A 13,653-nucleotide genomic window follows, 5' to 3' on the forward strand; every position below is an offset into this window, starting at 1 on the left:
TTTGTTGAAAAAGGCAGATCTGCTATTAATAATTATTCTTATTTTCCCTATTTTAGATTCTGAAGCGTGTTCCCAATAGTGTACTCTGGCTGTTGCGTTTTCCAGCAGTAGGAGAACCTAATATTCAACAGTATGCACAAAACATGGGCCTGCCCCAGAACCGTATCATTTTTTCACCTGTTGCTCCTAAAGAGGAACACGTCAGGAGAGGCCAGCTGGCTGATGTCTGCTTGGACACTCCACTCTGTAATGGGCACACCACAGGGATGGATGTCCTCTGGGCAGGGACCCCCATGGTGACTATGCCAGGTAAGTTGCTGATAAATCACTGGAATCTTCCTTGTTCCTTTGAAAATCTCCGTTTGGGGGAGAAACTTCCAGGTGAAATTATATGTACTAGGAGCAACATTAAAGGAAAGGTGATAGAAAGTGAGACTTGTTCTCACTTCATTCTCTTCATCTGCGTTGTGTGGAGGCTTAACATAAATAACATTAACTCTGTGCTGTTTTACGTTCTCAGATGTGCAGTTGTTATCTTTTGTATTACAGGAGAGACTCTTGCTTCTCGAGTTGCAGCATCCCAGCTCACTTGCTTAGGTTGTCTTGAGCTTATTGCTAAAAACAGACAAGAATATGAAGACATAGCTGTGAAGCTGGGAACTGATCTAGAATAGTAAGTAAACTTTTCCTTGAACAAATTATTTGGTAAAGTAGAGAGAATATAGCTGTTATAAAATGAAACCATAAAATAAGTGTAATATAAAATAGGTGAACTAGTTGTATGCCCTCTGGATGGGAGAAGTACTTCTAAACTCTTAGAAATGAAGTGATCAATAGGTTTTACTATGTAAAAAGTAAATGGCTGAATAAAAAATATTCAAGAAAATTAAAAAGCAAACGAGGGGAAAAAATCTTTTGTCTCAGATAACAAAGTATTAATTACCTGGCAATGTAAAGACTGCAGAACATTTAAATTTTATAATCCCCTAATAGGAAAGTAAAAATGGAAATGACCAGACACCTCACTGAAGTGGAAATACAAAAGGTTAACAAGAAAGTGTTTCAGGCTCTGTAGTAGAAATGCCAATTAAAATGGAATTGAGGCTGGGTGTGGTGGCTTATGCCTGTAATCTCAGCACTTTGGGAGGCTTAGGCGGGCGGATCACTTGAGATCAGGAGTTCGAGACCAGCCTGGCCAACATGGTGAAACCCTGTTTCTACTAAAAATACAAAAATTAGTTGGGTGTGGTGGCATGTGCCTGTAGTCCCAGCTACTCAGGAGGCTGAGGCAGGAGAATCGCTTGAACCCGGGAGGCAGAGGTTGCAGTGAGCCGAGATCGCACCATTGCACTCCAGCCTGGGTGACATAGTGAGACTCTATCTCAAAAACAAAAACAAAAACAAAAACAAACAAACAAAAAAAAAACCAAACAAACAAAAAAAACCAAAAAAAGAACCTGAGGTATATCCATTATTTGCCTATACAATAAAAAGATTTTTTGTATCAGTGAGGTAGCATTGAGGACTAGCCTTTTTATGCATTGGTGAATAAATTGGTACAGCCCTTCCTCAGAGTTTTTAGAGCCTTAAAAGTTAGATCTTTGGGCCAGGTGCGGTGGCTCACGCCTGTAATCCCAGCACTTTGGGAGGGCGAGGTGGGCGGATCACGAGGTCAGGAGATGGAGACCATCCTGGCTAACACGGTGAAACCCCCCTCTACTAAAAATACAAAAAATTAGCCAGGCATGGTGGCGGGCGTCTGTAGTCCCAGCTACTTGGGAGGCTGAGGCAGGAGAATGGCATGAGCCCAGGAGACGGAGCTTGCAGTGAGCTGAGATTGCGTCACTGCACTCCAGCCTGGGCAACAGAGCGAGACTCTGTCTCAAAAGAAAAAGTTAGATCTTTGACCCTAATACTGTCACTTCTTCACTACGGTCGGTGTAAGAAATAAACAAAGCATAACTTAAATGCCTGAAAATGAGTAGGAATTAGAGGGGTGATGCTTAGATGAGGAGGATTTATCCATACAATAAACTAGTATTTCTTTCATTCTTTTATTTTTTTTGAGATAGGATTTTACTCTGTTGCCTAGGTTGGAATGCAGTGGGGTGATCTTGGCTCACTGCAGCCTCCACGTCCTGGGCTCAGGTGATCCTCCCACCTCAGCCACCTGAGTAGCAGGGACCATAGGACTATAGGTACATGCCACCATGTCCCATGCCTGGCTAATTTTTAAATTTTTTTGTAGAGATTAAGTTTCAATATGTTGCCCAGGCTGGATATTTCTTTTTTCTTTTCCTTTTTTTTTTCTGGACGGAGTCTCGCTCTGTCGCCCAGGCTGGAGTGCAGTGGCGCGATCTCGGCTCACTGCAACCTCCACCTCCCGGGTTCAAGCAATTCTCCTGCTTCAGCCTCCCGAGTAGCTGGGACTACAGGTGCACGCCACCACGCCCGGCTAATTTTTGTATTTTTAGTAGAGACGGGGTTTCACCATGTTGGCCAGGCTGGTCTTGAACTCCTGACCTCGTGATCCACCCACCTTGGCCTCCCAAAGTGCTGCGATTACAGGAGTGAGCCACTGTGCCTGGCGTTTTTTTTTTTTTTTTTTTTTTTTTTGGAGACAGCCTCGCACTGTTGCCCGGGCTGAAGTGCAATGGCACGATCTCGGCTCACTGCAACCTCTGCCTCCCGGGTTCAAGCGATTCTCCTGCCTCAGCCTCCTGAGTAGCTGGGATTACAGGCATCCACCACCACATCCAGCTAATTTTTGTATTTTTAGTGGAGGCTGGATTTCACTATGCTGGCCAGGCTGGTCTCGAACTCCTGACCTCGTGATCCACCCACCTTGGCCTCCCAAAGTGCTGGGATTACAGGCATAAGCCACCGTGCCTGACGGGTATTTCTTAAATGAGGTTTTTCTTTCGGTATAATGGGTGATGTTTTTTCTTTGTGTTTTTCTGAGAAGTAGCATATTACATAATAATTAAAGAAACATACTTTTTGAGTCAGACTACCTGAGTGAACCCAAGCTCTCCTACTTATGAGTTTTGAGACTTTGGGCAAATAAATCTCTGTGTTGTGCCTTGGTTTCTTCTTCTGCAAAATGGAGCATAATGCTAGTGCCTACTTTGCAGAGATGATGTGAGGATTAAAAAAGGCATTCCATGTAAAGTACTTAGAATAGTTGTTGGTATCTGGTAAACATTCAGCAGATGTTAGCTACTTATTATTTTCAGAATTTCCTCCATAGAACATCACATACGTCTAAGAAAAGTGAGAAATTTGAACCCAGGCATTAAAAAAAAAATAAGATTCATGTCCATTAGCCCAGAGATAACTATAGTAAAAAATGTAGTGCGTTTTATTTTCAGACAGGGTCTCACTCTGTTAACTCAGGCTGGAGTGCAGTGGCATGATCACGGCTCACTGCAACCTCTGCCTCCTGGGATCGAGTGATCCTCCCACCTTAGCCTTCCAGTAGCTGGGACTACAGGCACATGCCACCATGCCTGGCTTTTTTTTTTTTTTAATTTAATATTTTGTGGAGACAGGGTCTCACCAATATTGCCCAGGCTGGTAACTCCTGGGCCCAAGCAGTCCACCCACCTCGGCCTCCCAAAGTGGCGGGATTACAGGCGCGTGAGACACTGCACCCAGCCTGTGGTGCATTTTAAAATTTTTATTAGACTCTTTGGTACTTAGTTTGGTTCATACAATGCTTTTCCTCAACATTTTTGTTCTCAAAATTTTTAATTTTATAATAAACACATCTATACCTACTGCTTAGAATCTACCATTAGCATTTTACTATTCTTGCTTTATTACATATCTATTCATCCATTTATTCCCTTTATTCATCTGCCAATCCATCTTATTGGACACATTTTGAAATAAATTGCAGACATCAGTACACTTCTCCTTAAATACTTAAGATTGGCTGTCATTAACTGGAGTTCAGTACACATATATTTTTTTGAGGTAGGGTCTCCCTCTGTTTCCCAGGCTGGAGTACAGTGATACGATCTCCGCTCACTGCAACTTCCGCCTCCCGGGCTCAAGCAGTCTTCCCCTCAAACTCCTGAATAGCTGGAAATACAAGCATGAGCCACCACACCTAGCTAATTTTTGTATTTTTAGTAGAGGCAGGGTTTTGGCAGGTTGCCCAGGCTGGTCTCAAACTCCTGACCTCAAGTGATCCACCTGCCTTGGCCTCCTGAAGTGTTGGGATTACAGGCGTGAGCCACTGCGCCTGGCCATTTTTTTCTTTTGAGGCGGAAGTTATATACAGTGAAATACACAAATATTCAGTGAGTTTTGAGAAATAACCCTTTTTTTTTTCGTTTTGAAACGGAGTCTTGCTCTGTCGCCCAAGTTGGAGTGCAGTGGTGTGATCTTGGCTCACTGCAGCCTCTGCCTCCTGGGTTCAAGCGATTCTCCTGCCTCAGCCTCTTGAGTAGCTGGGACTACAGGCACGTACCACCACACCCGGCTAATTTTTCATATTTTTAGTAGAGATGGGGTTTCACCGTGTTAGCCAGGATGGTCTTGATCTCCTGACCTTGTGATCCACCTGCCTCGGCCTCCCAAAGTGCTGGGATTACAGGTGTGAGCCACAGTGCCCAACCGAGAAATACCTTTGTAACCCAAATTCCTATGAAGACAAAAAACATTATCACTCCAGAGAGTTTCTTCATGCTCCTTATCAGTCAGTCTTTTTCACCAACCCCCAGAGACAACCACTGTTCTGGAGGGTTTTTTTCCCTTCCATAAATTAGTTTTGCTTTTCTAGAATTTTATCCAAATGGAACTATGTCAATATGCACTCTAAAGGCTTCTTTCATCAAGTTTATTTCTTTTGCTGAGTAGTATTTCACTGTATGAATGCACTACAGTTTATTTTCCTATTGGCATAGAATTTTAAAAAAATAGAGTGCACAGGTCTTTCTCTTTGGAGGGTAGCATTAATATGGACATGGTTGTATTGAGACCAACAGATATGCACAACCATTTTACTGCTTCTGTCACAACAAACATTAAAACAAAGTTGGGCGTGGTGGCGCATGCCTATAATCCCGGCGCTTTAAGAGGCTGAGGGAGGAGGATTGCTTGAGCCCAGGAGTTCGAGACCAGCCTGGACAACATGGCGAGACCCCATCTCTACAAAAAATACAAAAATAGCTGAGTGTGGTGATGCGTGCCTGTAGTCTCAGCTTCCCGGGAGGCTGGGGCAGGAGGATTGCTTGAGCTAAGGAGGTTCAGTCTGCAGTGAGCCATCATCGTTCCATTGCACTCCAGCCTGGGCAACAGAGTGAGACTCTATTTCAAAAATTAAAAGAAAATAAATAAAAATTATTGCTTTTAAAAATGCACAGAAATGTTCTGGCTTCTGGTTCTAAAGTATTTATCCCTTCATCTAAGAATAATCTCATGAAAAATATATTCAAAAGGGAAGTAGAAATCTTTTCCCCTGTGTTTCCTGAAGAATCAATTACTTCTTTTTTATTTTTCTGAACAGAACCATACTCTTGGTGATATTAGCAATTTTTAAAAATCTGAACTCAGTTCAGGTACAAGTGGAAAATTACGAGAGTAGACTTATTGTATTTCTTTTCCCCTTGAGTGGTTTTCTGTTTCATCAAAATGACCATAAATCGAATACTTCATCTTATGTTTATGCTTTAACTTTTGTAAATGATGCTTCAATGAATATCTTTGCATGGTCCTGTATGTTTTTGCATCTGATTATTTCTTTTTAATAGATTTTAAAGTGTTACTGTTAGGCCAGAGGGTTATGAACATTTAAGGTTAATACATACTTGCTAAATTGCTTACCAAAAAGGTAAGCAACAGTACATAGGAATAGTCATGTGCCGTTGTCAATTCTTGTTATTTTAAAGGTAGAAACAAGACGAAATGGAGAACGCGTGGTATCCCTTGGATATACTTGTTTAGGAAAGAACTAAGTTTTTTCAGAGTATATGGAGTTGAGCTCATTTCAGTGTTAGCATTATGCAAGATGTGACCCTTCCCTTTTTAGCACGAAGCCAATCAAGAAATGAGATAGCGTAGAGTTTGGTCATGCATTTTTTGCCACAAATGCGACTAGGTATTTATAGGGTGTGTTTCTGAGTTTCTGCTCTGATTTGTAAACTGGGTTCTTGTTTTTTATTACCCAGCCTGAAGAAAGTTCGTGGCAAAGTCTGGAAGCAAAGAATATCTAGCCCTCTGTTCAACACCAAACAATACACAATGGAACTAGAGCGGCTCTATCTACAGATGTGGGAGCATTATGCAGCTGGCAACAAACCTGACCACATGATTAAGCCTGTTGAAGTCACTGAGTCAGCATAAATAAAGACTGCACAGGAGAATTACCCCTATACCTGAGCCTCAACCTTCTGGGGGAAAGGGAACTAGATAACATACTTCTTACTTGTCTGTACAGTACCTTGTTGCAGATGGGTGATATATAATGGTAATAGAATAGCACAGCCAGACTTGCTTCCTGCATGGTAGGGAGAGACACAAAAGATGGGAAACTGCTTTTCCACAAGGAATCTCCGTAGAATTTTGCGGCGACCAGATGGTGCATAGGTCTGGAAGGTCTGATCTCCCTTGGTCTTCCATGGGATGGTTAGTGTGGAGGGGAGATATAGATTGTCCGGCCGCTTTGTGATTCCATGGATTGATTCAGTCTTCTGGATTTTTTTTTCTTTATATTTTGGGTACTGGAGCTTTTAAAAATGTTTGGTTTCAGGTATTTTTATTCATGTGAAGTGTATATGATTCTCTTGAGATAAGGTTTTAAGCTAAAATGTTACTCCCTGTTTTAGTTTCTGAACTCTGACAGATTGACAGGGACTTTGCTGGTGTAGTCTTTTTATAGGTTTTATAAACCACTTGAGCCTATATCAGTCGTTTTAGTGTCTGACCTAATATTTGGAGCTATCAGTGCTTTGTTGATTTAGATGATGACTCAAGATTTTTTCTGGTCCATTTCCCATTTCCTTTTCTTCCCTGACCCCCATACCCTCACCCTTAAAATTCTCCTGTAACTCAACTAACAAAATCAAGCCTGATTCAAAACATCCTAGGGTGTTTTAAACACACCATCTGGTGCCAAATGAAGATTTTTAGGAGTGATTACTAATTATCAAGGGCACAGTTGTGGTACTGTCATTGATAATAATATAGTTTTTTTTTTTTTCCTAATTTTGACCTGTTTCACCAGTGTTTTACCCTTGACTGCCCCTTCTATGCTGCTTCCAAAAGTGATAGTGTGTGTAAGATTTTTACCTTCCTTTCTAAAGTTTTTTTTTTTTTTTTTTAAGTGAGTCCTGTTCTTCCTATTTCTTTCAGCAGAAATGAAATCCCAGGTAAGTATAAGTATTCAAGTATTTGATCAGTAAGTCACAGTTATCTCCAGTGCATTAAATAACCTTCATCAAGAAATAGGTTATAGGTAAAATCTCTGAAGGATCATCTATGTATTCAAGTAATTATTTTTTAGATAATAACTGTCTTCTGGACTTGGTCTTGAAGTCTGTACAGATTCAGCCTCAGTAGTAGCGAACTGCACTGCTGTTTGGTTTGGAGTACAAATTAGACTTATAGTCCTCCTGGAACTTGAGTTATTAAAATCATAGGAATAAAATTATGGGATCTCAACAAAGGGTCGAGGGTTTGAGGCTTAAACAAGCCAACATATGAATATATGTTTTGTCTCGCTATACTGCACTTACGCTATCCAGTTGCAGGTAATTTTTTGTCTGCTAGTAGTGTTCTAGATTATGTCTTTCCAAAGCGCTGAGGCTGTGCACCTATTCTGTAGTTGCAGCTGATGCCTGAATGTATCCTAGCTGACAAATTATTGATTAATAAGAACTTGAATTTCTGGAAGATTCTTACTGTTAACCAAATTTTGAGCAAGGAGTCTCAAAGGTAATTCTGAACCAGAATTACATGTTAATGAACAGTGTACCTTTTAACAGTGTAAATCACGGAATATCCGTGAAGGGATTTCTTAATTTATTTTTTACCGGTTGATTGAAATATCAGTTAAAGGTTGCCAGCATGGTTGCAGATAAACTGATGTTTGAAATTCGCTGAAATACTTAATGTGGAATAGGATAATATACTTCCAATGCCCTCAAGGCTGTGACCTTACAGCCATTTTACATAGCACATCATTCCTCCTATAGGGATGAACTTTTTCCTGGCACGAAAAGTAGCCGCTCTGGTTGAAGCTTTGCTTATTGTAACAGGCTTTTATTTCCAGGTAATATGTCTTGGAAGACTTAATTCTGATTAGAGATATAGATATTACTGGAAACTAATTGTTTTTTTTCTATTGTACTCTGCTTTATCAAAGAAGTAAAACATTTAAATCGTACTACAGAAATTAAGATGTTGTCTTGCGATCCTTAATAAATGAATGATTTCCCTTTAATACGGCTGATGTATTTTGTATCCTGTTATATTGAGTGTTGGACTGAAGAATAGTGTCATCCAATGATGAAACCTATATTTAAACACCTCCAAACAGCATGAAAGGACCAAATTTCCCTACTGTAGCTATGATATTAGGAATTGTTTTCTCAGCCAGGTCTGGTAGAGGGTGGGGTTAGTTTATGATCCATTAAGAAGGCAAAGTGGCCTTGTGTGGTGGCTCACGCCTGTAACCCCAGCACTTTGGGAGGCGGAGGCAGGTGGATCACTTGAGGTCAGGAGTTCAAGACCAGCCTGGCTAACATGGTGAAACCCTGTCTCTACTAAAAATACAAAAAAACTAGCCGGGAGTGGTGGCACACGCTTGTAATCCCAACTACATGCGAGGCTGAGACAGGAGAATCGCTTGAACCCGGGAGGCAGAGGTTGCAGTGAGCTGAGATCGTGCCATTGCATTCCAGCCTGGACAACAGAGTGAGATGTCATCTCAAAAAAAAAAAAAGACAAAGCCTGTGATCCCCAACACACCCATTCATGCTTGCTCCTCTTTTGCTTGTGACCTCTCTGCTTTCATTTACCCTTGTAGTCTCGGTTTTCATGTGGACCATTCTTTTCTTGGCTCTTGGGGGCAAAATTATTTTCCTTCCTGCTCTGTATAGTGGTCGAACTCTGCCACAAGCATCAGGGAGGAAGATATCAATTCATGATTGATATCATGAATTGATATCATGGCAAATGCTGTTTGCCAGTTTTCTCAGATATGAGAGGGAAGATTTTTTTCAGTAAAATTTTGCATGATTTAATTCCCAACTTCTTAAAGCCCTCATGTGGATTGGTGTTTGTTTCCTAAAAGATTATTATGGGAAGAAAGCCTACTCAAAAGTTTTTACTCCCATTCGCTTCTCTTGAAAAATCTACATTATTTCCAGTCTACTTCAGCTCCTCCTGCCTTCAATCTAAAGGAGTTGCTTGCACACCTTGAGTAAATGTGTGTAATTTCTGAACTGCCCATTTTAAGATTTGATTCCAAACCTATCCCATTCTTTTACTTGAAGCATATGCCTCTCAATTATAGCTAACATCCTGGTTCTTTGCCCAAGCCTCTGAGGCACAGTTATGTAATCCCCATTCTTATAAAGAGGCTTGTAGAGGTTAATTTGCAACTTCATTGTAGAGAGAGAGAGTAATCAGCCCCCTTTATCCAATTTTTTTATCAACTGAGAAAGTATCTGTATTTAGGTAGGCAATCTGGTGCTTAAGAGCAGGTTTTGGAACTAGAGTTGGAGTTTGAATCTCAGCTCTGCCACTTTTTTTTTTTTTTTTGAGATGGAGTCTCGCCCTGTCCCCATGCTGGAGTGCAATGGCACGATCTCGGCTCACTGCAACCTCCGCCTCCCAGGTTCCAGCGATTCTCCTGCCTCAGCCTCCCGAGTAGCTGGGATTACAGGCGCGGGCCACCACACGCGGCTATTTTTTTTTTTTTATCTTTAGTAGAGACGGGGTTTCACCATGTTGACCAGGCTGGTCTCAAGCTCCTGACTTCGTGATCCACCCGCCTCAGCCTCCCAAAGTGCTGGGGTTACAGGCGTGAGCCACTGTGCCCGGCCAGCTCTGCCACTTTCTAGCTGTGTGATCTCTAAAATGAGAGTGCTAACAGTTGCCTACTTTTTAAAGTGTTGTATGAATTAAGTCGTAAGACACTTGGAATAATGCTTAGCACAAAATAGTATCAAACGCAGGGACATTTTATGTGTGTTCTGTTACCCAAAGGCATACATTACGAAATATATAGATGCTCGCTGGAGAAACTGGCACAATCTAGAAAGCGCTGTTTTCCCCGTTTGTTTTTCTTGGTGTGTATGGAGTGAGTGCCAAAAAGCCTCAAGTAACCTTTTTTTATCTCCAGGGTTTGGAGGGTTCTGGAAGTAAACATCATAGTTCGCCGTTGCCAGGCGCTGTTGAGTTGCTGCCTTGCTCTTATCTAGGGGTCTAGATGGCCTTCCCTGCAACCCCCGCCCCCCTGCGCTCCCGCGTCCCCCCGCGCCCCGCCCTCCCCTCGGTGTTCCCGTCCACGCCCCTGCTCCCGCGCCTTCGCTCCAGTTCTCGTGCCCCCGCCCCTCCCCCCGCGCCCTTTCCCAGTGGTTGCAATAACGGACTTAGAGGTCTGGACAATTCAAGTAAGGAACAAGGCTCGCTTATCCAAGTTCTCGCAGGATAAAAGTTTGTTATGAACGATTTCACATGGTTTCTCTTTATCAGAAAGTTGTTAGGGACTTTTAATCGCAGAATTGGCCTCGGGTGCCCACGCTCTAGTATTGAAATGGCGGTTTTGGGACAAATAAGCAACATCCGTGGGAGTGGAAAGCGACAGACCTGATCCCGGAAGCGTTACAGCTAGGCGCCAAGTTCACAGGCGCGAAGTTCAAATTTGTCTTGTGACCACTGTGATAGGTGGGTACAGGGGAGCGCGGGCGAGCACACGTGAATTACTGCTACCGCCCCCTAGGTCCGGGCACTATAAAGGGGCCTGCGCCTGGCGTTGTTCATCGCAGTTGCTCCGGATCTTTGCACACACTCCACGGGCAGTTGGAGGTGAGCTGCTGCCGGCCACGCCAGAGGCTGCAACACCAGGTAGGTGACCGGCTGGTCGGACTGAGATGGGTGCTGAAGTGGTCCAGAGGTTAATCCTAATTGAGTGACTTAATTAAAATCAGGACCACTGTATACCTTGGACTCTGGTTGCCCGTGTAGGCCTGAGGTGGGAGTAGAGGAAGTGGCAGCGAGGGGAGAAGTGGAGGCGCCAGTGGTAGCATTGGGGGAGGTGGGGGCGCCCATGGTGGTGTAGGAAACATATGGTGGCGCCAGTGGCGGCATTGGGAGGGGTGGGGGCGCCGGTGGCGGCGTAGGAGCAGCTGGTAGTGCCAGTGGCGGCGTGGGGAGAAGGGGCGCTGGTGGCGTCATTGCAGATAGTGGGGGGCCTGGTGGTGGCGTAGAAGGAGGTGTTGGTGCCAGTGGCGGGTGGAGAGAAGTAGGGGCACCAGTGGCGGCGTTGGGGGAAGTGGGGGTGCCTGTGGCAGTGTCGGGGAAGTGGGGGTGCTGGTGGTGGTGTAGGAGCATGTGGTAGCACCAGTGACGGTGTGGGGAGAAGTAGGGGCACCATTGGCGGCCTTGGGGGAAGTGGGAGCGCTGGTGGTGGCGTAGGAGCGTGTGGTGGCGCCAGTGGCTATGTAGGAATACGTGGCGCCGGTGGCGGCGCGGGGAGAAGTGAGGGCGCTGGTTGCGGCACTGGGGGGAGGTGGGGGCCCCAGTGGTGGTGTAGGAACAGGTGGTGTCCCTAGTGGCGGGTGGGGAGAAGTAGGGATGCCAGTGGCAGCGTGGGGGGAGGTGGGGGTGCCAGTTGCGGCCTAGGAGTACTTGGTGGCGTTGGTGGCATAGGAGCACATAGTAGCGCTGGCGGTGTGGGGAGAAGTGGAGGCGCCGGTGGCCGCATTGAAGGTGGGGGTGCCAATGGGGGCGTTGAGGGAAGTGGGGGGTTCTGGTGGCGGCGTAGGAACACTTGGTGGTGGTGGAAGTGGCCTAGGAGCACGTGGTGGTGCTGGTGGGCGTGGGGAGAAGTGAGGATGCTGGTGGTGGCATTGGAGGTGGGGGTGCCAGTGGCTGTGGGGAGAAGTGGGGGTGCCCGTTGCAGCATTGGGGGGAGGTGGGAGCTAGTGGTTGTGGGTAGGGGTGTGTGTGTGGGGGTTGAGGTCTCTTTGGCTGAGGACTGAGTGGTGGTGGGAGACAGGAGTGGGGTAGGGCAGAAGTTGGATAGAAGTGTGGGGGAGTGGAAGCCTGCTTGGAAAACCGGTTGGGAGCAGTTGAAGGTGGCTGGAGGTGGTTGGAGGTGCGAGTGTGGGGGAAGGGTGGTGGGGTTGAGGCCTGATTGGTGGAAGACTGAGGTGAGAATGGTGGGGGTAGGGTCCAGACCTGATAGGAGGAAGGAGTTGGGGAGGGGTCAAGGCCTGTTTGGTCGAAGATTGGCTAGAGGCTGGAGGCAGGAATAGGAAGCGTGGAGGGGGTGGCCGGATTCATATAAGACCAGTGAGAAGCCAGAGTGGCGGGAGGTAAGGGGGCAGTGGAGGTTGGACAGAAGGAAGAAGGTGATGAGGGGGCGGTGGTAGCCTATTCTGGGTAAGATTGACAGAGTGGGGAGTAAAGAGGTAGGGGAAGGGGGAGAGGTTGACACCCGGTAGGTGGGAGACTTCCTTGGGGCAGGAGTAGGGGGACTGAAGGTTGTAGGGAGGTGGAGGGCCAGTGGGATGTGGGGGCGGTCGAGCCCTGATACGTGGAAGACTGGCAAGTTGAGGTGGGAGTGGAGGGAGTGGGAAGTGGGGGCGGGTGCAGGGTGGGAAGAGATTGGGGTGGTAGAGGCCTGAGTGGGAAAAGTTTGCAACAAAACAAATTTAAATCCTTTTCATTTTGCAGAGCAAAGTTTCGGCTTTAAGGTGGGGAAGATACCCAAAGATAAATGCAGAATGTAAATGTAGAGATGTCTCTGCTTTTGAGTTCTGGCTTTCTTTTTTTTTTCTTTTTATTTTATTTTCTTTTTCTTTTTCTTTTTTGAGATGGAGTCTAGCTCTGTGGCCCAGGCTGGAGTGCAGTGGCACAATCTCGGCTCACTGCAAGCTCTGCCTCCCGGGTTCACGCCATTTTCCTGCCTCAGCCTCTCGAGTAGCTGGGACTACAGGCGCCCGCCACCACGCCTGGCTAATTTTTTGTATTTTTAATAGAGATAGGGTTTCACCGTGTTAGCCAGGATGGTCTCGATCTCATGACATTGTGATCTGCCCGCCTCGGCCTCCCAAAGTGCTGGGATTATAGGCGTGAGCCACTGCGCCCGGCCGAGTTCTGGCTTTCTTAAGAAAGTGTATCTTTGTCTTTCACTACAGACATGGATGGGTGCAAAAAAGAGCTGCCCCGCTTGCAAGAGCCGGAGGAGGACGAGGATTGGTGAGATTTAGAAAGTTCTGTTTTCTTTTAGTTTAGTGTTACCGTATTGGCAAAACAGCTTTCTCGAGAAGTATGTTTATTTCCTTTAGTATCTGTAGAGCGTATAACTTGGTTTGTTATAAAATGAGAATTGTAAAGAAGGATTTTACAAACTAGGAGTCCAGCCTCCTATGAAATTCTTGAATCCGCTATATAATTTCTTTGTTAGTGGCCAGG

At 45.1% G+C, this 13,653-nt stretch overlaps 2 protein-coding genes across 3 annotated transcripts in view, besides 1 other annotated feature; both read left to right on the plus strand.

Moving 5' to 3' along the window:
• The window catches only part of OGT (O-linked N-acetylglucosamine (GlcNAc) transferase), a 42,789-nt gene extending 34,340 nt beyond the window's left edge, over positions 1 to 8,449 (plus strand). For both annotated transcript variants that reach the window (NM_181672.3, NM_181673.3), the window contains exons 20-22: positions 57 to 309; positions 550 to 673; positions 6,177 to 8,449. In NM_181672.3, coding sequence (NP_858058.1) covers positions 57 to 309; positions 550 to 673; positions 6,177 to 6,351 — 552 coding nt within the window. In that variant the 3' untranslated portion in view covers positions 6,352 to 8,449. The remainder of the gene's footprint in view (positions 1 to 56; positions 310 to 549; positions 674 to 6,176) is intronic.
• GCNA (germ cell nuclear acidic peptidase) overlaps positions 10,994 to 13,653 on the plus strand; it is a 35,147-nt gene continuing 32,487 nt past the window's right edge. Inside the window, exons 1-2 of the mRNA NM_052957.5 lie at positions 10,994 to 11,079; positions 13,377 to 13,437. Coding sequence (NP_443189.1) covers positions 13,379 to 13,437 — 59 coding nt within the window. The 5' untranslated portion in view covers positions 10,994 to 11,079; positions 13,377 to 13,378. The remainder of the gene's footprint in view (positions 11,080 to 13,376; positions 13,438 to 13,653) is intronic.
• Positions 11,201 to 11,842: an enhancer, noted in NCBI's record as "H3K27ac-H3K4me1 hESC enhancer chrX:70798494-70799135 (GRCh37/hg19 assembly coordinates)". NCBI's record gives its function as "activates a minimal SCP1, AML or CMV promoter by ChIP-STARR-seq in naive H9 embryonic stem cells {active_cell/tissue: H9 hESC(naive)}" and the evidence as "EXISTENCE:reporter gene assay evidence [ECO:0000049][PMID:30033119]".

Source organism: Homo sapiens, chromosome X, assembly GCF_000001405.40.
Source record: "Homo sapiens chromosome X, GRCh38.p14 Primary Assembly".
Taxonomy (NCBI): domain Eukaryota; kingdom Metazoa; phylum Chordata; class Mammalia; order Primates; family Hominidae; genus Homo; species Homo sapiens.